Source organism: Homo sapiens, chromosome 19, assembly GCF_000001405.40.
Source record: "Homo sapiens chromosome 19, GRCh38.p14 Primary Assembly".
Lineage (NCBI taxonomy): Eukaryota > Metazoa > Chordata > Mammalia > Primates > Hominidae > Homo > Homo sapiens.
Window position 1 is genome coordinate 12,229,513 of NC_000019.10, and position 19,888 is coordinate 12,249,400.

Below are 19,888 nucleotides of genomic sequence, written 5' to 3' on the forward strand. Positions count from 1 at the left end.
AACCTTTTCCAGGAAAACAAGATCTATGAAGAGAAGCCTTTTGAATATACTCATAGCTTGGAGGAGGGAAAGACCTGGAGAGGGTTTTCATTAGGAAGAAAGATATTTTTTTTTTTTTTGAGACTTTGTCTTGCTCTGTCACCCAGGCTGGAGTGTAGTGGCGTGATCTCTGCTCACTGCAAGCTCTGCCTCCCAGGTTCACGCCATTCTTCTGCCTCAGCCTCCCAAGTACTGGGACTACAGGTGCCCGCCAGCACACCCGGCTAATTTTTTGTATTTTTAGTAGAGATGGAGTTTCACCGTGTTAGCCAGGATGGTCTCGATCTCCTGACATCGTGATCAGCCCGCCTCAGCCTCCCAAAGTGCTGGGATTATAGACGTGAGCCACCACGCTCAGCCAGGAAGAAAGATTTAGGAAGAAAGATTTTATGAGAGGTGCAAACTTGACACAGGGAGCGTTGGGATTTAAAGTAGAAGCAGAAAGCCTGAATATAGAGAACCTCTTGCCATTTGCTGTTCTTGGTTATAAAGTTGTTAAGGTTCCTGAGAATTTGCAAGCTAAAGGTGCCATTTTTGGGCCATCAGCTGTCATTATCTAATGTGTATTGGGGCCAGGCCATGTTACAATAAAAGACTACATGCTTAAGCCAAGTTTGGCGAGGTTGTGAAGGAGACAGCACAGTGGAGAGGGTGTGGGAATGTGGGATTGTTTGGCACCCATGTGGACTGGCAAGAAGAAGCCGAGGGTGTCTGTTTTTGTTCTAGGCGTCCCCAGACAAAAGACAGAGACCTGGAGTTCTCTTTCTAAAGAGGATGGTCAAGCTGAGAAGAAACTGGGCATCCCCAAGATTTCCTCTAGCTTAGTCCCACTGGTCCTCTGAGGACCGAGATGGCAGACCTGACTTTTTCCAGATACCATGAGAAAGCCAGGGGAGGGCAGATCTTACCAGTCAGCTGGATTAGTGTCTGATGTTAACGTTCCAGTTGGCCTCTTGGGCTGCAGCTGCACAAGGGAGAGAGAGAAAAGGGAGGATTAGAGAAAAGTGAACTGAATAAAAAGACAACGAGTGGTGGCCAGAGACCTCCAGGATCCAGGAATTAACTCAGGACAAGCTGCTGTTGCCCACTGCTTCCTGGGTTGCAGGAGAGCCTCTGCCCCCAGCACCCATCCTGGGTTTCGGCACCAAATGTAAGAGTTAGAGGAAAGAAACACGAAATGCAGCTTGACAGTCAAAGACAGGTTTATTTTAGAAAAAACCTGAGAGGGGCTTCTGGCTGATTTCTGTCAGAAGTGCTTTCTCTTACAGACTAAGAGTGTATATTGGTTTTAGGGTGAGGGGGCTTATTACAAGCTTGGAATGTTTCTGTGTAGGGGAGAAGTTTATGGGGGCGTTGGAATGTCTCTGGGCAGAGGTGGATTATCTTGGGGCTAGCATGTCTCTGGTCTGGGAGGAGTTGGAATGTTTCTGGTTGGAGATGTTATTTGTGGTTTATGATCATGCTGACTTAGCCATTAGGCTGATGCCCTTTGGATTTAGGCAGTTTTTGATTAAGGTGACTTTTAAAATGAGGTGCTTGTCCACGATGGTGATGCTTCTACTCGGTCACCCAGCCTCTAGTCAAAGGCTTTTTTCCAGGAAGGGCAGAACTTCAGCTTTTCTCATCTTACCTCCACCTACCCATTACTGAGGTTATGTCCTGTGTGGGTATGTTTGAAAAGTGGGGACATGGTTTGTGAGTATGGTGCACTCAGACTACTAGGACACTGATCAACTTTGCCTCAGCTCGTAGAGGTGGTGGATCCATGCCAGGACACAGGCCAAGAGGACATCAGGCTGCTGTCCCTCCCCGCCACTGAACACTCAGTTCCTAAAGAGAGAGGATTACTCAGAAAGCAGCTTGCCAACGCTCCTACCCAAGCTTCAGAGCCCTGTCAGATTTTGCCTTGAGGTGGAAGAGAAGCAAGCTGTGAAACACATAGCTCCTAACCTCTTGCCTAAGAATTAACTTCAATTGCAACAGATCATGAGACATTTAAGTCAAAGGGCACTCCATCCTTGATGCAGTGGAAATGGGGAAATGGAGGTGAAAGACAATTCACAGGAGATTTGTGGATTTAATGAAGATACTGCCTGCACTGTAGGCCAGCTAATTTGTGGACAAAACCAGGAAAAAAACACTGTTAGGAGGAGTCCATTAAGCATCTAAACAAACAACTATTAAACGCTGATCTCAGATAGTATTGTTAGAAAGGAGAGAAAACATATTTGGATTTACAGGGCAAATTTGTCCCTGGACTTTTTTGAGAACAATAGAGCTATCTGAAGGGGTGGGTTGCCCCTCCACACCTGTGGGTGTTTCTCGTTAGGTGGAACAAGAGACTTGGAAAAGAAAAAGACACAAAGTATAGAGAAAGAAATAGGGAGACCCAGGGAACCAGAGTTCAGCATATGGAGGATCCCGCCAGCCTCTGAGTTCCCTTAGTATTTATTGATCATTTGTGGGTGTTTCTCCAAGAGGGGGATGTGTCAGCGTCACAAGACAATAGTGGGGAGAGGGTCAGCAGACAAATACGTGAACAAAGGTCTTTGCATCATAGTAAAGAATCAAGTGCTGTGCTTTTAGATATGCATACACATAAACATCTCAATGCTTTACAAAGCAGTATTGCTGCCCGCATGTCCCACCTCCAGCCTTAAGGCGGTTTTTCCCTATCTCAGTAGCTAGAACGTACAATCGGGTTTTATACCGAGACATTCCATTGCCCAGGGACAGGCAGGAGACAGATGCCTTCCTCTTGTCTCAACTGCAAGAGGCATGCCTTCCTCTTTTACTAATCCTCCTCAGCACAGACCCTTTACGGGTGTCGGGCTGGGGGACAGTCAGGTCTTTCCCTTCCCACGAGGCCATATTTCAGACTATCACATGGGGAGAAACCTTGGACAATACCTGGCTTTCCTAGGCAGAGGTCCCTGCGGCCTTCCGCAGTGTTTGTGTCCCTGGGTACTTGAGATTAGGGAGTGGTGATGACTCTTAACGAGCATGCTGCCTTCAAGCATCTGTTTAACAAAGCACATCTTGCACCCCCCTTAATCCATTTAACCCTGAGTTGACACAGCACATGTTCCAGAGAGCAGGGGGTTGGGACTAACGTTATAGATTAACAGAATCTCAAGGCAGAAGAATTTTTCTTAGTACAGAACAAAATGGAGTCTCCTATGTCTACTTCTTTCTACACAGACACAGCAACAATCTGATCTCTCTTGCTTTTCCCCACACCATCAGCCAGCAATCAGTGCAGTTTAACATCTGAGGGCTGTCCAAGAGAGGAAGAGATTCCCACAGTACCATTGTCATGCCAGGATGACTGCAGGCAGAAACAAAGCTGAGCCACTTCCCCTCCCCTCAAGAGCAATATCAGAGACTTAAAGTTATGAAGAAGAAATTGACAGAGCAAGAGCATCGCCATCGTGGACAAGCACCTCATTTTAAAATTCACCTTAATCAAAAACTCTAAATCCAAAGGGCATCAGCCTAATGGCTAAGGTCAGCATGACCATAAACCACAAATAATATCTCTGACCAAAAACATTCCAGACTCCTCCCTGACCAGAGACATGCACCAAGATAACCCTCACTCTGGCTGGGAAGATGCCAGCCCTGAGAAACCCCCCTCCGGCCAGAAAGATGTCTGCCCCAAAATAACCTCCCCTCTGCCCAGAGACATTCCAAGCTTGTAATAAGCCCCCTCACCCTAAAACCAATATATACTCTTAGTCTGTAAGAAAAAGTGCTCCTGACCAAAATAGGCCAGAAGCCCTTCAGATTGTTTCTAAAATAAACCTGTCTTTAACCATCAAGCTGTGTTTCTTTCCTCTTTAACTCTTACAGAAATAGACTTCACCAAAATAGTCCAATCGGTCTCTAAACAAAACAAAGCAAATAACAATAACAAGGCCCGGAGAAATTGAACATACTTGAGAAGGTTCAGTATGTTATCAAAAATGTCCAATTTGCAACAAGTACAACCCATACATCAAAAAAAAAAAAAAAAAAAAAACCTGACAATAGAAACTGCCTGTGAGAACAGATAGCAAATTTAATCGAAAAATACTTCAAAGTGTACATTATAAATATGTTCACAGAACCAAAGAAGAGCATGACTTAAACACATTGAAATTTGGAATCTAGCTGAAGGTTTCTCCACACCAACTACCCTACTTTCACAATCTTTCTAATGTAATGACTACTGTAAAAAATGACAAGCCTGGCTGGGCGCAGTGGCTCACACCTGTAATCCCAGCACTTTGGGAGACCGAGGCAGGTGGATCATGAGGTCAGGAGTTCGAGACCAGCCTGACCAACATGATAAAACCCTGTCTCTACTAAAAATACAAAAATTAGCCGGGCATGGTGGCGGGCACCTGTAATCCCAGCTACGCAGGAGGTTGAGGCAGGAGAATCGCTTGAACCCAAGAGGCGGAGGTTGCAGTGAGCTGAGATCGCGCTGCTGCACTCCAGCCTGGGGGACAGAGTGAGACTCTGTCTTAAAAAAAAAAAAAAAAATGACAAGCCCATTATTAGTGGTTCATTAATAGGTTTTGAACGTACATTGCTACCAGTATCACAGAAAGTGCAGGTTTTCTGCCATGTATGAATTGTTTGAAAGTAAATGCACTGATTACTCTGCAACAAGGCTCCCCCATAGCTATTATAAAAATAATAACATCCATGTATGAAGTTTCTTAGTTCTGTTTCCCTGTGAAGTATGTTATAAATACTTCAACATCTATGTTACAGTAAGTATATTATTTGTGTTGAAAATTTTGTTTTAAAAATTGATAACATGCAAAGATCCCCTCAAGGGATTTTCCTCTTGTGAGGGCAAATCACCTTAGATTTCTCCCAGGCTTTTTCTATTGATCTTTAATGTTCTGGTTGTGCCATTTGTTTCCTAAAATGTAGACCGAGAAAAATCATTATCATTTAGAAAGCATGGAAAAATTACTGGATTGTAGGTTCATTGTGCACTGCAGCCATGCTTGATCAATTCATCAAAATACCTCCTTTCCACATTCCAAATTTTGGAACAGCACTGATGGCCAAAAAGCACTTGTTCTCTAATTGACTAAAGGAAAAAAATAGTATCCTCACCTATAGAAGCCAGGTGCTGATGGCTTCCCTCATCACATCTCTACAGATTCTTCACGGAAAAATCCAGCAAAGCCTACTCCTTCTGGATGAAGTTCAGAGTCACATCTTCAAAGACCACCAAGCCGTGACATATCCCAGATATGTGTAGAGGAGGACAGGTGAGACGGACAGCACTGGGGATCTAGACTCAATTCATGAGAGTTCACACTGAAGCGGTGTCATTGTCTCGGAGCCATGGAAAACTAGGACATGGACAAACAGAGGTTCTGAGCAGAAGTTTAATAGGCGAAAGAAAGACATGAGCTCTCTCTGCTGCAGAGAGAAGGGTCTCAGAGAAGTGGGTTGCTGTTCCCACAGTGAAATGCAGTTTTATAGATGAGCTTGAGGAGGCAGTGTCTGATTTACACAGGGTACAAAAGATTGGTTGGGGCCGGGCGTGGTGGCTCATGCCTGTAATCCCAACACTTTGGGGGGCAGAGGCGGGCGGATCACAAGGTCAGGAGACATCCTGGCTAACAGGGTGAAACCCCATCTCTACTAAAAATACAAAAAATTAGCCGGGCGTGGTAGCAGGCGCCTGTAGTCCCAGCTACTCGGGAGGCTGAGGCAGGAGAATGGCGTGAACCTGGGAGGCGGAGCTTGCAGTGAGCCGAGATCGCGCCACTGCAGTCCGACCTGGGCGAAAGAGCGAGACTCCGTCTCGTCTCGAAAAAAACAAAACAAAACAAAAAAACCGACACCAGTTCACTACAATCTTTCTATAAAATACAAGAGTAAACACTTCCTAATACATGCTAGGAGGCCAACAGAATCCTACTGCCAAAACTAGATAGATACATTACAAAGGTGGAAAACTATAGACCAGTAACTCTCATGATCATAGATCCTAAAAGTTCTCAACAAATATTCACAAATTGAATCTAAAAATGTATAAAAAGAATTATACACCACAGTCAAGTGGGAATCATTACAGGTGTACAAGGCTGATTCAAAATTCAGAAATTGCCAGGTGCGGTGGCTCATGCCTGTAATCCCAGCACTTTGAGAGGCTGAAAAGATTGCTTGAGCCCAGCAGGCAGAGGTTGTCCTCTGGGAGTGAACCAGAGGCTGATATTCACTAGATCCTCCAAGATACCTGGCAACTGTGAGTATCCTGGGTCAACCCCAGGAAGTTCTAAAACCCAGGAACAGGGACAGATCACCCTATAAAATTTCCAAAAGGGAACCTCAATCCAAAGACATTCTGGTAAGGTGTCTGTGCCTAGGGAAGATAAAAGGAGGAGAGGCACAAAAGAGTAAGTGCACCCGAGTTTCATGCACTTACTCTGTTTTCCTCATGTGAAATGTTCACAAACAGAAAAATATTTTAAAAAGAGCTATCGCTCTGTGAAAAAAATGATAAAGTACTGCATCTGTTTGAAATGTACAATAAAGGACAAATAGTTGATAATATTTTGAATCGATGAAGCAAAGTTGGCACTTGGGAATGTGGGGAAGGAATTGGAAATTTAGGAATTCATACAAACCCTAGAAGGGTTAAGTTCGGCAAACAGAATTGTGGATTTGAGACCTGCGTCCCACACTTTTGGAAAATGCAAGGGCAAACAAATACACGAGAAAATCGGTACCCCTGGGGAGTGTTAAAAGAAATAAGAGGCAATCAGACTGGAATGGCTATAGTGCCCTGAGTTGCTTCCCAAGGACACCAAAATCGGACACAAATGTAGCTTGTAAATTACCAATTTAGAGGAAAATGAAGTTTAGCCTCCGACTACATAACCAGAACATTTCCACCTGGATAGACCTGTCAGAAATAGGAAGAACTGAAAGAAATTTGTTAAAAAGTGGCCTAAGATGGCTGCAGGTTGGACATACAGGTAATAGAAACCAGGCCCATGAAATAAAACTGAACTCTCAGCCTGCAAGTTAAATATTTCACTGACCTGTACTGATGACAACCTTGCCTATCAGATGAAGCGAAGGTAGGACAGATTCAATCATCCCTGTCTAAACCCTGCGATGCCTGTGTACTGGTTAACCTTTCATATACTTTCACCACATACTTGCTTTATCTTATAAGGTCACTGCCCACCTCTCCCATTTTCTGTGTAACACAAGGTATAACACTTCACGTAGCCCACTCCAGGACACATTGTTTGTGCTGGGTCTGCATTCCCAGGCTATTGTCCTTAAACTTGACTTAGAATAAAACGCCTGTTTTTTTAACCTTTGGTTGACAGACCAAATAAGGCGACTTATAACCAAAGATTTAACTTGGCTTGCTTCCTCATACACCTTATAAAAGCCTTTCCTTCAAGCCCCCCTGACGGGACCCCAAAGAACAAGCCATGGTTGGGTTATTCATGAATTGCTCTTGGCTAAATAGTTAAATATTTAACGGTGCTGCATTTTAATTTTTACAGGTGAAAGGCAGGATTGGGAACCCCACAGACCGCAGCTCCTCCCAGGAGAACCCCACACATGAGTCTGGATCCTCGCCATGATCCTCCCGTGGCCCCCACACAATCTGGGGAGACGCGGGGCCGCGGGCACTGCGCTGCCGAGAGGGCTCCGGACTGAGGCTGCAGTTGCTGCGCAGGGACGGCTCAGGATGCCCGGGGTCCCGGCTGCTGGCCCAGCCCCACCCTGTGGCCGAGGGGACCCAGGGACGAGCTGCGCCAGGGAGACTCGGGTCCGCAGACCCCGGAATCGCTGCTGACAGGCCCGGGTCCCACCACAGCAGGTCCCAACCAGCCCCTCCTCCCACCCGGCCTTGCACACTCACCATTTCCCGGCTCCCAGGTGTCCCGGGTCCTCCCTTGGCTCCGGAGATCAGTGCTGGTCACCACCGGACAGAAGCTGTGGTGGAGCCACCTCGGCCTCTGGAAGGCTGAATTCAGTGGGTTAGGGGAACAGGAGCCCCTTAGACTTGCGGAGCTTGGCCCCACCCTCCTGGCGGAGCGCCTGATTGGATAATTTACACGACCCCGCCCAGTACCCCTAGGATAGGAATCAAGCCCCACCCCCTAGGCCCGGGTTTCAGGAGAAGCCACGGAAAACTCGGAAGTGTGGAGCAGGATTGACAGGTTCTAGCAACAGCCCTCCCACCCCCCCGCCCAGGCCAGGCTTCCTTCTGGAGCTTGGACGTGACCCCACACTGGGGACATTTGCATTTAAGAAAAACTTGGCTCCAGGCTTTCCACAGTGGGCCCTGGCATCTTCCTATACTCACTGGGCCCTTTCTGTTTCTTCCTTCTGGACGGGGGTTCACAAGTGTGAGCAGGCAGTTCCACACTCCGTGTCCAATTGAGCCAGTACCTTTGCTGGAAGCTACTGGGCTGGAACAGGAGGGAGAGCCCAGATGTCTTCCAGGGATCAGGAATTTGGGATAAGCGGCTGGTGGCATGGCCAAGGCTTCCTCATACCTTATCTCAGTCTACCCATTTTCAGGGAAGAAAATGAAATATGCCAACAAGGGAACAAAAATTAAGTGCATGGAAAAAAGTTATACTACAGCAATATTCTGTAAAGAAATCAAAAGGGGCCGGGCGCGATGGCTCACCCTATAATCCCAGCACTTTGGGAGGCCAAGGTAGGAGGATCACCTGAGGTCAGGAGTTTGAGACCGCTCTGGCCAACATGGTGAAACCCCATTCTCTACTAAAAATACAAAAACTAGGCCAGGCGCGGTAGCTCACGCCTGTAATCCTAGCACTTTGGGAGGCCAAGGCGGGCGGACCACAAGGTCAAGAGATCAAGACTATCCTGGCCAACATGGTGAAACCCTGTCTCTACTAAAAATACCAAAAAAATCAGCTGGGCGTGGTGGCACGTGCCTGTAGTCAGAGCAGCTCGGGAGGTTGAGGCAGTAGAATTGCCTGAACCCGGGAGACAGAGGTTGCAGTGAGCCAAGATCACACCACTGCACTCCAGCCTGGCAACAGAGAGAGACTGTCTCAAAAAAAAAAAAAAAAAAAAAAATAGCTGGGCATGGTGGCACGTGCCTGTAATCCCAGCTACTCAGGAGGTCGAGGCAGGACAATCACTTGAACTCGGGAGGCGGAGGTTGCAGTGAGCCGAGATCGTGCCACTGCACTCCAGCCTGGGCAGCAGAGTAAGACTTCATTTCAAAAAATGGGAAGAACAGCAAACATTTTAACTAGCTCAGATAAGCATCCTCCTTCACAAGGAAAAGCCGCATTCAGAAAATGAATCACGTTCCCAACCTTAAGAGCCAGGTTCTGACTGCTGTAACGCAGCCCCAGAGGGGATCAGTCTGTGAGTTCCTGTCCCCTCAGTGTGGAAATGCTCCCTCCTTCAGGACCTTAATTTTCACCAGCAGGAAACTCTCACCTGGAATCAGCTTAAGGTTCTGATCTAAATAAACTGTCAAAATCATAAACCCATTCTCCAGAAGACAACCCAAACAAGTCTTTCTCTAAACCTGAACTAAACAGATTTTTTTAGAGGGAGTCTAGCTCTGTTGCCCAGGCTGGAGTGCAGTGGCGTGATCTCGGCTCACTGCAGCCCCCACCTCCCGGGTTCAAGCAGTTCTCCTGCCTCAGCCTCCCCGAGCAGCTGTGACTATAGGTGCACACCACCATGCCCAGCTAATTTTTGTATTTTTAGTATAGACGGGGTTTCACCATGTTGACCAGGCTCGTCTTGAACTCCTGACCTCAGGTGGTCTGCCTGCCTTGGCCTCCCAAAGTGCTGGGATTACGGGAGTGAGCGACTGCACCTGGCCTTTTTTTTTTTTTTTTTTTTTAAACAAGATGGGGGTCTCACTATGTTGCTGAGGCTGGTCTCGAAGTCCTGCCCTCAAGTGATCCTCCTGCCTCAGCCTCCCAAAATGCTGGGCTTATAGGTGTGAGCCACCGAGCAAGCCCAGCCCAAGTTGCATTTTTTTTTTTTTTTTTTTTTTTTTGAGATAGAGTCTAACTCTGTCATCCAGGCTGGAGTGCAGTGGCGTGGTGTCACTCACTGCAACCTCCACCTCCCTGTTCAAGCGATTCTCCTGCCTCAGCCTCCTGAGTAGCTGAGACTACAGGCGCATGCCACCACACGCAGCTAATTTTTGTATTTTTAGTAGAGATGGGGTTTCACTATGTTGGCCAAGCTGGTCTTGGAACTCCTGACCTCGTGCTCCACCCGCCTTGGCTTCCCAAAGTGCTGGGATTACAGGTGTGAGCTACCGTGCCCAGCCCCAAGTTGCGTTTTTATATAGTAACAATAAACGGTCTGAAAGAAAATTAATGAAACAATTCCATTTACAAAAGCACCAAAAACAGTAAAAATTCAGCCAAGAGGCCTGTATCTTGTACACTGAACACTACAAAAGATTGCTGAAACAAATTAAAGAACAGACAAATAAATCGCAAGTAATCCCATGTTCATGGATTGTAAGACTTCCTATTGTTAGGATGAGCATACTACCCAAATTAATCTACAGATACAATGCAACCCCTATCAAAATCCTTATGGCCTTCTTTTTAGGCCGGGCACAATGGCTCACACCTGTAATCCCAGCACTTTGGGAGGCTGAGGCAGGCAGATCACTTGAGGTCAAGAGTTCAAGACCAGCATGGCCAACACGGTGAAACCCCGTCTCTACTAAAAATACAAAAAATTAGCCGGGTGTGGTGGCTCGTGCCTGTAATTCCAGCTACTCAGGAGGCTGAGGCAGGAGAATTACTTGAACCCAGGAGATGGAGGGTGCAGTGCACTGAGATTGTGCCACTACACTCCAGCCTGGGAGACAGAGTGAGATTCTATCTCAAAAAAAAAAAAAAAAAAACTAGAAAAAATCAACCCTAACGTTCATTTGGAATCTCCCCTAATACCAAAACAATCTTGAAAAAAAGTTCAAAGACTCACGCTTCCTGATTTCAAACTGGCTATAAAACTACCATCATCGAAACCACATGGTACTGTGTAGGGACAGACATACAGAACACAGATCCTAGAAAGAAAATGCTTGCATATGTGGTCAAATGATTTTTTGACAACAGTGCCATGATCATTCAATGGAGAAAGGATGGTCTTTAAACATATGTTGTTGGGAAAACTGGGTATCTACATTCTAAAGAATAAAGTTGGACCCTTACCTTATATACAAAAATTAATTTTGAGTCAAAGATCTAAACTTAAAAGCCAAAACCATAGAAGACTTAGAAGAAGATATAGGAGAAATTTTCATGACATTGGATTTAACAATCATTTCTTGGATATGAAATCTAAAGCACAGGCAAACAAAAGATAAACTGAACTACATGAAAATTTAAAACTTTTGTGCACCAAAAGACAACATACAGAATGAGAACATATTTGCAAATCACGTATCTTGGAAGAGATTAATACCCAAAATACATAGGAACTCCTACAACTCAACAAAACAAACCAATGAGCCCATTCAAAAATGAGTGAGGGACTTGAAAACATTTGTACAAAGATATATAAATGGCCAACAACCACATGGAATAATGCTCATTACCACTGGTGATTAGGGAAATGTAAATCAAAACACCAGTGACAGTTCACAACTGTTGGAATGGCTGCCATTTAAAACAAAAAGTAGAATATAACCAGGGTTGGTGAGCATGCATAGAAACTGCAGTCCTTGTGTATTGCTGGGGAGAATTTTACACACAGCCACTGTGAAAAACAGTATGGCTATACATGAACATAGAAAACCCTGTGACCCAGCAATTCCACTCCTAGGTATGTATCTAAAAGAATAGAGGCCAGGCACGGTGGCTCACACTTGTAATCCCAGTACTCTGGGAGGCCAAAGTGGGTGGATCACCAGAGGTCAGGAGTCCAAGACCAGCCTTCCTGGCCAACATGGTGAAACCCTGTCTCTACTAAAAATACAAAAAGTTAGCTGGGCATAGTGGCAGACACCTGTAATCACAGCCACTCAGGAGGCTGAGACAGGAGAAACACTTGAACCTGGGAGGTGGAGGTTTCAGTGAGCCAAGATCGCACCACTGCACTCCAGCCTGGGCAACAGAGCGAGACTCCGTTGCAATCAATCAACCATGGAAAGCAGGGACTCAGACACATACGCACTGATTTTAGAGCAGTATTCAGAGTAGTCAAAAGAGTTTTGTGGAAACAACCCAAGTGCTCAACATATGGATGGATAAACAAAGTGTGGTGTATCCAATATACCACACTTGGGAATATTATTCAGGCACAAAAACTGAATTACTGGTACATGCTAACATGTGGATGAACCTTGAAAACATTATGCTAAGTGAAATAAGCCAGACACATAAGGACAAATACTGCATGCTTCTACTTACATGACGCACCTAGAATCAGCAAATTCATAGAGCAAGAAAGGAAAATAGAGATTACCAAGGGATGGGGATGGGAGGAATAGGGAATGGTTGTTTAATGGGTACCAATTTTTTTTTGGACTAATGAAAAAATTCTGGAACTAGCTAGCTAGCTGTGATGGTTCTAAAGCACTGTTAATGTATTTAATGCTACTGAATGGCATACTTACAATGGTAAATTCTATGTTACTATATTTGACCTTAAAAAAAATTAAAGGCCGGGTGCGGTGGCTCACGCCTGTAATCCCAGCACTTTGGGAGGCCGAGGTGGGCAGATCACATGAGGTCAGGAGTTCAAGGACCATCCTGGCTAACACAGTGAAACCCTGTCTCTACTAAAAATACAAAAAATTAGCCGGGCGTGGTGGTGGGCACCTGTAGTCCTAGCTACTCGGGAGGCTGAGGCAGGAGAATAGCGTGAACCTGGGAGGCGGAGCTTGCAGTGAGCCGAGATTGCACTACTGCACTCCAGCCTGGGTGACAGAGCGAGACTCCGGCTCAAAAAAAAAAAAAAATTAAAAACTGGCCAGGCACATTGGCACACGGCTCACACCTGTAATCCCAGCACTTCGAGAGGCCAAGGCAGGAAGATCCCTTGAGCCCAGGAAACCTGTCTGGGCAATATAGTAAGACCTATATAGTAAGACCTTGTCTCTCCAAAAAAAAAAAAAAAAAAAAATATGATTTAAAAAATTACCTGGGCATGGTAGTGTGCACCTGTAGTCCCAGCTATTCAGGAGGCTGAGGTGGGAGGATCATTTGCTTGGGAGGCAGCAGTTTCAGTGAGCCAAGAGAACACTACTGAACTCCAGCCTGGGTGACAGGGAGACCCTGTCTGAAAGAAAAAAAATTAAAAACTAAAGACACAATTTGAGCTACTAGAAAGGAAAACAACAATGCCTGGTATAAAATATGCACTGGATTGAATAACCAGATCAGATATTTCAGGAAGAAATTAAGACCCAGCAATAGAAATGACATAATTTTAAATACATGCACTTAACAAATTGCCAAAATACGTCATGCAAGAACACACAGAACTGCAAGGTGACACAGAAAAATTCACAGTTAACTGAAGACTTCAACACTTCTCAGTAATACAAAGATCCAACAGGCGTAGATTCAGTAAACATTCCTTTTTTATTTTAAAATACTTCACAAAGATTGTATATGTTCATGATGTACAGTTATGTTTTGATGTATATATATACATTCTGTAATGGTTACCACAGTCAAATTAACACATTGATGACCACCCATGCTGTACATTAAATCTCCAGAACGTGTTCACCTTACAACTTGGTTTTTAACCTTTGACCAACATTTCTCCATTTTCCCTACCTTCTGGACTCTAGTAACCACCGTTCCTCCCTCTGCCTCGGAGTTTAAGTTTTTAATATTCCACAATTAAGTGGGATCATGAAGTATTTGCCTATGTCTGCCTTATTTTATAGTGTCCACCAGGTTTATTCATGTGACAAATGTCAGGATTTCCTTTTTACGGCTGAGTAATATTCTGTTTAAATATACATCACACTTTCTTTATTCATCCATTAATGGATGCTAAGTTTGTTTCCATATGTTGACTATTGTGAATAATGCTGTAATGAACATATGCGAGTGGCAGATATCTCTTTGAAATACTGATCACTGCCTTTGGTCATATATGCATATACCCAGGAGTGAGACTGTTGGATCACATGGTAGTTTTTGTTTTTTTTTGCAGAACCTCCATATTGTTTTTCACAATGGCTGTACCAATGTACATTCCCACCAACAGTATACAAAGCTTCCTTTTTCTCTGTACTCTAACACTAATCTCTCTTGATAGTACCCATCCTTGCATGTATGAGGTAACATGTAATTGTGGTTTTGATTTGAATTTCTCTAATGATTAGTGATATTAAGTCCCTTTTCATTTGCTTTCCGGCCATTTGTATGTCTTCTTTGAAAAAAATGTCCACTCAGGGTTTTTAAATTTATTTTTTCTTATTGTTTTTACCCCTTGCAGAAACCAGTCTATTTTTCTTAATTTGTTAGTTTTTTGAGATGAGAGGGGTCTCATTATGTTACCCAGGTTGGTGTCGAACTCCTGGATTCAAACGATCTTCCTGACTCACACTTCTGAGTACTGGGACTACAATTGGGCACCACTATGCCCAGCTAATAATTTATTTATTTATTTATTTTAGACATGAAGTCTCCCTATGTCGCCCAGGTTGGTCCCAGATTCCTAGCCTCAGGCACTCCTCCCAAGTACGTGGAATTATAGGCATAAGCCACGGCACCTGGCCTCCTAAACTTATGAGTGTTCCAACTTGTAATAGACTTTGAAACATATACAACTTGTTGGTGCGTCCCAGGCCAATCCTCACATTTGGCTTTGATTAGCCTTTATCAAATTATTCTGCCTCAACAGACTTAATTTTGGTCAACAATTTAACTGAGGTACTTTATAGATAACAGTGTCCATTATACCACAGGAAATACTTCAGTGTTTAAATAATGAGAAAAGCAAAAGCTGTTCCCAATGACAGCTGCTCCCCAACTCACCACAAGGCGAAGTCTTACCCTGTTGAAAACTGTAACAAACCTCCATCAGACAAAGCTACCAGGTGACCATAATGGATCAAAATGAAATTCTGTAACCATGTCTCCGATAACCTAAAAGAAAACAGACTCCAAACTTTAAAAATGACCAGAAATCTCCTAATATGACTTGTGCTTCTTATGAATTAGTGTTAGTGCCACTCTATTCTTTCTGCCTCCTAGATAAGAACTATTAGAATTTTCCAAGGATGGAATTGAGTTCACCTAACAGCATCCAATACAAACACCTCACTTTGTTGAATGGCAATGAAATCACCTAAAAGAAACACAAATCCTATAAGAAGTCCTCTTGAGCACCCTCTTATGGATAACCCTCCGTCATTGATGCTTTGTGTTCATCCTTATTACAACTCTTTACATGCCACTCTTTGACTATAGGTGTGATTCTAGTGGTCTCTGGCAAGATGGCACAGACAAAAGCATGCTTTGTTCCTGTGGTATTCTAAATGAGAAATTAGATTCATGAGAAAAATTGTGACCATGTAAGAATTTTAAAAAATTTTTTCCTTTACATTTTCTTTAACATTTTTTAAAGAAAAAAAGTACTTGGACTTATATGCAAATGGTAATACTGACTCATTATTTAGAATGTATAATGAATAACCTGACAAAATTACAAAGTTGACCTGAAAATGCATAATTGCAATGGGATATTTTAATATATATTCTCAGGTAATGGAAAATATTAATACAATAGTTGTTAGTATACAAGTTGTTTTAAAAGAGTTAATAAAATATTTCTAAGAAATACCTGCAGAAGTTGTTTGATAAAAATGCATTGTTTTTATCATGTACAAACATAATTGAGAATGTGCACATGATCACATTTGGCTATAATTGGAAATTCTCACGATCTGCCTGACCTAAGACATTTGTTTTCACATAGACTGTGTCAGAGCAGTTACTGCACAATGCAACAGAGGAACAAGCCCCCATGTTGTTCTATGTGACTGTATCACTGTAGCTGTCACAGGGAAATCAGGAACACAGTTATTACCAGTATTAACAGAATGAAGTGTTTACTATGCAAATTAGATCTTGTTTGAATATAATCTAGAGATGAGGGGAGTCAGAACAACAGAAAATATCCTCAACCATGACAGTTTTAATTAGTTGCCTGGTGGATTATGTTGATGTGGGTAATGTTGTTAACTAAATTTTCTAGAATCTTTTTTTTTTCCATGTTAGAATTCACCAATAGCCTAATGACATGAAAGCTGGGAGGCAGAACTTAAGAAGGCTGCAAGGGGACTGCGTGGACACCGGCCTCCTGCCTGTTTTCCTGATACTTTGTCCTGACAATCAAGAGTTTCTTTAAAACACCACTGTCTACTTCTGTTTTCTCAGACAGGTAGAGTTCCACAGATGTCTCCACCATCTTCACATCAAAGATATAATTTGCAGTTTGGATTTTCCTGCAAGCCCTCATTTGTCCCTATGCATCTGTCTGTCTCCACGCAGATGGGTCCAAAACCTGACTAATGCCTTCTTCAGTTCTGCCTTCCAACTTTCATGTCAGGCTACTGCTGAATTCCAGCATGGAATCCAAAAGGGAATAGATTCTAGAAAATTTAGTTCACGTTACCCATAATCACATAGCACAATCTAAGAGGCACACCTCCAACCTAGATTGTGTTGTCCTATCACAGATCTTACTTCTTAATTCAAAGTCTATCATCCATATCTTGGCCAGAAAGAAAAAGAGCAAAATATGGAAATAATGTATATAAGACTATATTGTATAACCTTGGCCCACTATTCATTAGCAAGGGAAATAAAATAAGGCTCTTCTAACCAAAAAGAAGAAAGGTTTTCTCCTGAGGAAGGTGGAATATATATATAATGGATAAGGGAAAGCCAATACCTGCCACAGGATGCCAGTAGAAAACTCCCAGTACCAAACTGTCATTTTTCAATGGCCCAGAACTATTAAAACATTTTATTAACTGACTTAAGGAATTTTATTTAAAAATTTTATTAACTGACTTAAGGAAAAAACACTACCAATTATACTTCTGCACTATTTCTTAAAGAGTATTTACAGAATAATCTCACCTCAATGTTCATTTATGAAAATAAGTAGGAACCCAGAGTGCAGAGATCCACTTTAAGAATGTGGCACTAAGCCAGGCAACGCAGCACACATCTGTAGTCCCAGCTGCTCAGGAAGCTGAGGTGGGAGGATCTCATGAGCCTAGAAGTCCGCGGCCAGCCTGGGCAACATGGCAAGACCCATCTCAAAAAAAAAAATAAAACAAAAAAACTGGCCCAGTGTGGTGGCTCATACCTATAATCCCAGCACTTTGCTGGGCTGAGGTGGGAGGATTACTTGAGGTCAGGGGAGTTGGCGACCAGCCTGGGCAAGATAATGTTGCCTGTCTCTACAAATATATACGTATATATATACATATATAAAAATATTTTAAAATAAAAATATATTAAAAACTAGGAAGAATCAAAAAGGGATGTGGCACTGATAAATACATTTATAATATTTTTTCATGGCATGAATTTTCTAGAGCATTCTACCTGAATTAAGTTATATCAGGCTTTCCTGTATTACTTACATTCATGCAACTACCCTCCAGTATGAACTTTCATATCAACTTTGAAAATCGTTAAAATTGAAAAACTTTCGATATTTACATTTATAGTTTCTATTCAGCGTGCACTTTCTTCACATGGTATTGTAAGGATGCACGCCAAATGAAGGCGTTGCCACAATCCTTACATTTATAAGGTTTCTCTCCAGTGTGCATTCTCATGTGCACTCGAAAGCCTGTAAGGAAACTGAAGGGTTTTCCACATTCTTTACATTCATAGGGTTTCTCTCCAGTATGAATTCGTTCATGTATATGAATATAACTGGAACTACTGAAGGCTTTACCACACTGTTTACATTCATAAGGTTTCTCTCCAGTGTGGGTTCTTTCATGTATCTGGAAACCTGCAAGAGTAATGTATGTTTTCCCACATTTTTTACATTCATACTGTTTCTTTGCAGTGTGCATCCTTTCATGTCTTCGGGCAGAACTGCAACAATAAAAGGCTTTCCCACATTCCTTACATTTGTAGGGTTTCTCTCCAGTATGAGTCCTTTCATGTCTTTGAGCTGAGTAGTAGTATCTAAATGCTTTTCCACATTTTTTACACTCAAAGGGTTTATCTCCAGTGTGAGTACTTTCATGTGCTTGAAAACCTAAAGGAGACAAGTAAGTTTTCCCACACAGTTTACATTCATAGTGTTTCTGTGCAGTGTGATTCCTCTCATGTTTTTGAGCAGTACAGTGGTAACTGAAGGCTTTCCCACATTCCTTGCATTTGTAGGGTTTCTCTCCAGTATGAGTCTTTTCATGTCTTTGAGCAGAGTTGTGATATACGAACACTTTCCCACATTTTTTACATTCATAGGGTTTTTCTCCAGTGTGAGTTCTTTCATGTGCTTGAAAACCTACAGAAGATATGTAGGTTTTTCCACATTGTTTACATTCATAGCGTTTCTGTACAGTGTGATTCCTTTCATGTGCTCGAGCAGAATGGCGGTAAATGAAGGGTTTCCCACATTCCTTACATTTGTAGGGTTTCTCTCCAGTATGAGCCTTTTCATGTTTTTGAGCAGATTGGTGGTATCGGAATGCTTTTCCACATTCTTTACACTTAAAGGGTTTATCTCCAGTGTGAGTCCTTCCATGTATTTGGAAAGAACGTTGACAACTGAAGGCTTTCCCACAGGCCTTACATTTGTAGACTATCCCTGCACTGTGTGTTCTTTTATGTTTTTTAAAAGACTGCAGATAACTGAAGGGTTTCCCACATTTCTTACATTTATATGGCTTCTCTCCATATTCCTGACACTTATACAGTTTGTGTCTGGTGTAAGATCTAATGTGCCTGTTAAGGGATGAATGATGGCTCAAGACTTTTCCACATACACTGCTTTCCCAAAGCTTTCCTCCAGAAGGAGTTTTCTTGTTCAGACTGAGATTTGCAATCTGGCTGAAACCTTCTCCGCCATGACTACCTTCTTTACTTTCACAGAGTCTCTCTACCATATGATTTCTGTAAAAAATGAGTAGCACATTAATAGTTCATTTTTTAAAGATTTTCTCTTTATTAACTGATACTAGAATAACTATTTTTTCCACTTTCAGGGAAAGTACAGATTTTTTTGTCCTGTCTAAATTGCTTGTGAGGTGAATGTACTGAATGCTATGGCCCTGCAAGAGGGCTCAAACATAACTGTTATGAAAACAGTGATTTTCATATATGGGTTTCTCTTTTTTTTTTTTTTTGAGACGGAGTCTCACTCTGTCACCCAGGCTACACTCTGTCGCCCAGGCTGGAGTGCAGTGGTGCGATCTTGGCTCACTGCAACCTCTGCCACCCGGGTTCAACTGATTCTCCTGCCTCAGCCTCCTGAGTAGCAGGGATTACAGGCACCTGCCATTGCGCCCGGCTACTTTTTCACTATGTTGCCGAGGCTGGTCTTGAACTCCTGACCTCACAATCCACCCACCTCGGCTTCCCAAAGTGCTGGGATTATAGGCGGGAGCCACCGCGCCTGGACCATGAACATCTATGCCATATTTAAGAAAGCACTTTGGGGCCAGGCGTGGTGGCTCACACCTGTAATCCCAGCACTTTGGGAGGCCGAGGCGGGCGGATCACAAGGTCAGGAGATCGAGACCATCCTGGCTAAACACAGTGAAACCCCGTCTCTACTAAAAATACAAAAAATTAGCCGGGCGTGGTGGTGGGCGCCTGTAGTCCCAGCTACTCGG

The 19,888-nt window shown here is 43.3% G+C and overlaps 1 protein-coding gene and 1 pseudogene across 2 annotated transcripts in view, besides 1 other annotated feature; one reads left to right on the forward strand and one right to left on the reverse strand.

The window, feature by feature from the left end:
• The window catches only part of LOC100289333 (uncharacterized), a 43,633-nt pseudogene extending 34,498 nt beyond the window's left edge, over positions 1-9,135 (forward strand). The window contains exons 2-3 of the transcript NR_171708.1: positions 5,201-5,312; positions 7,578-9,135. The product of NR_171708.1 is annotated as an uncharacterized LOC100289333, transcript variant 2 (transcript). The remainder of the gene's footprint in view (positions 1-5,200; positions 5,313-7,577) is intronic.
• Positions 1-19,888, reverse strand: part of ZNF44 (zinc finger protein 44) — a 70,198-nt gene that overhangs the window by 4,827 nt on the left and 45,483 nt on the right. Inside the window, exons 4-7 of the transcript XR_007066867.1 lie at positions 13,195-19,166; positions 7,940-8,492; positions 5,155-5,396; positions 948-1,003 (exon numbers count right to left, since the gene is read on the reverse strand). The gene's annotated coding sequence lies outside the window, so the exon portion shown is untranslated. The remainder of the gene's footprint in view (positions 1-947; positions 1,004-5,154; positions 5,397-7,939; positions 8,493-13,194; positions 19,167-19,888) is intronic.
• Positions 2,453-3,282: an enhancer, noted in NCBI's record as "NANOG hESC enhancer chr19:12342780-12343609 (GRCh37/hg19 assembly coordinates)". NCBI's record gives its function as "activates a minimal SCP1, AML or CMV promoter by ChIP-STARR-seq in naive H9 embryonic stem cells {active_cell/tissue: H9 hESC(naive)}" and the evidence as "EXISTENCE:reporter gene assay evidence [ECO:0000049][PMID:30033119]".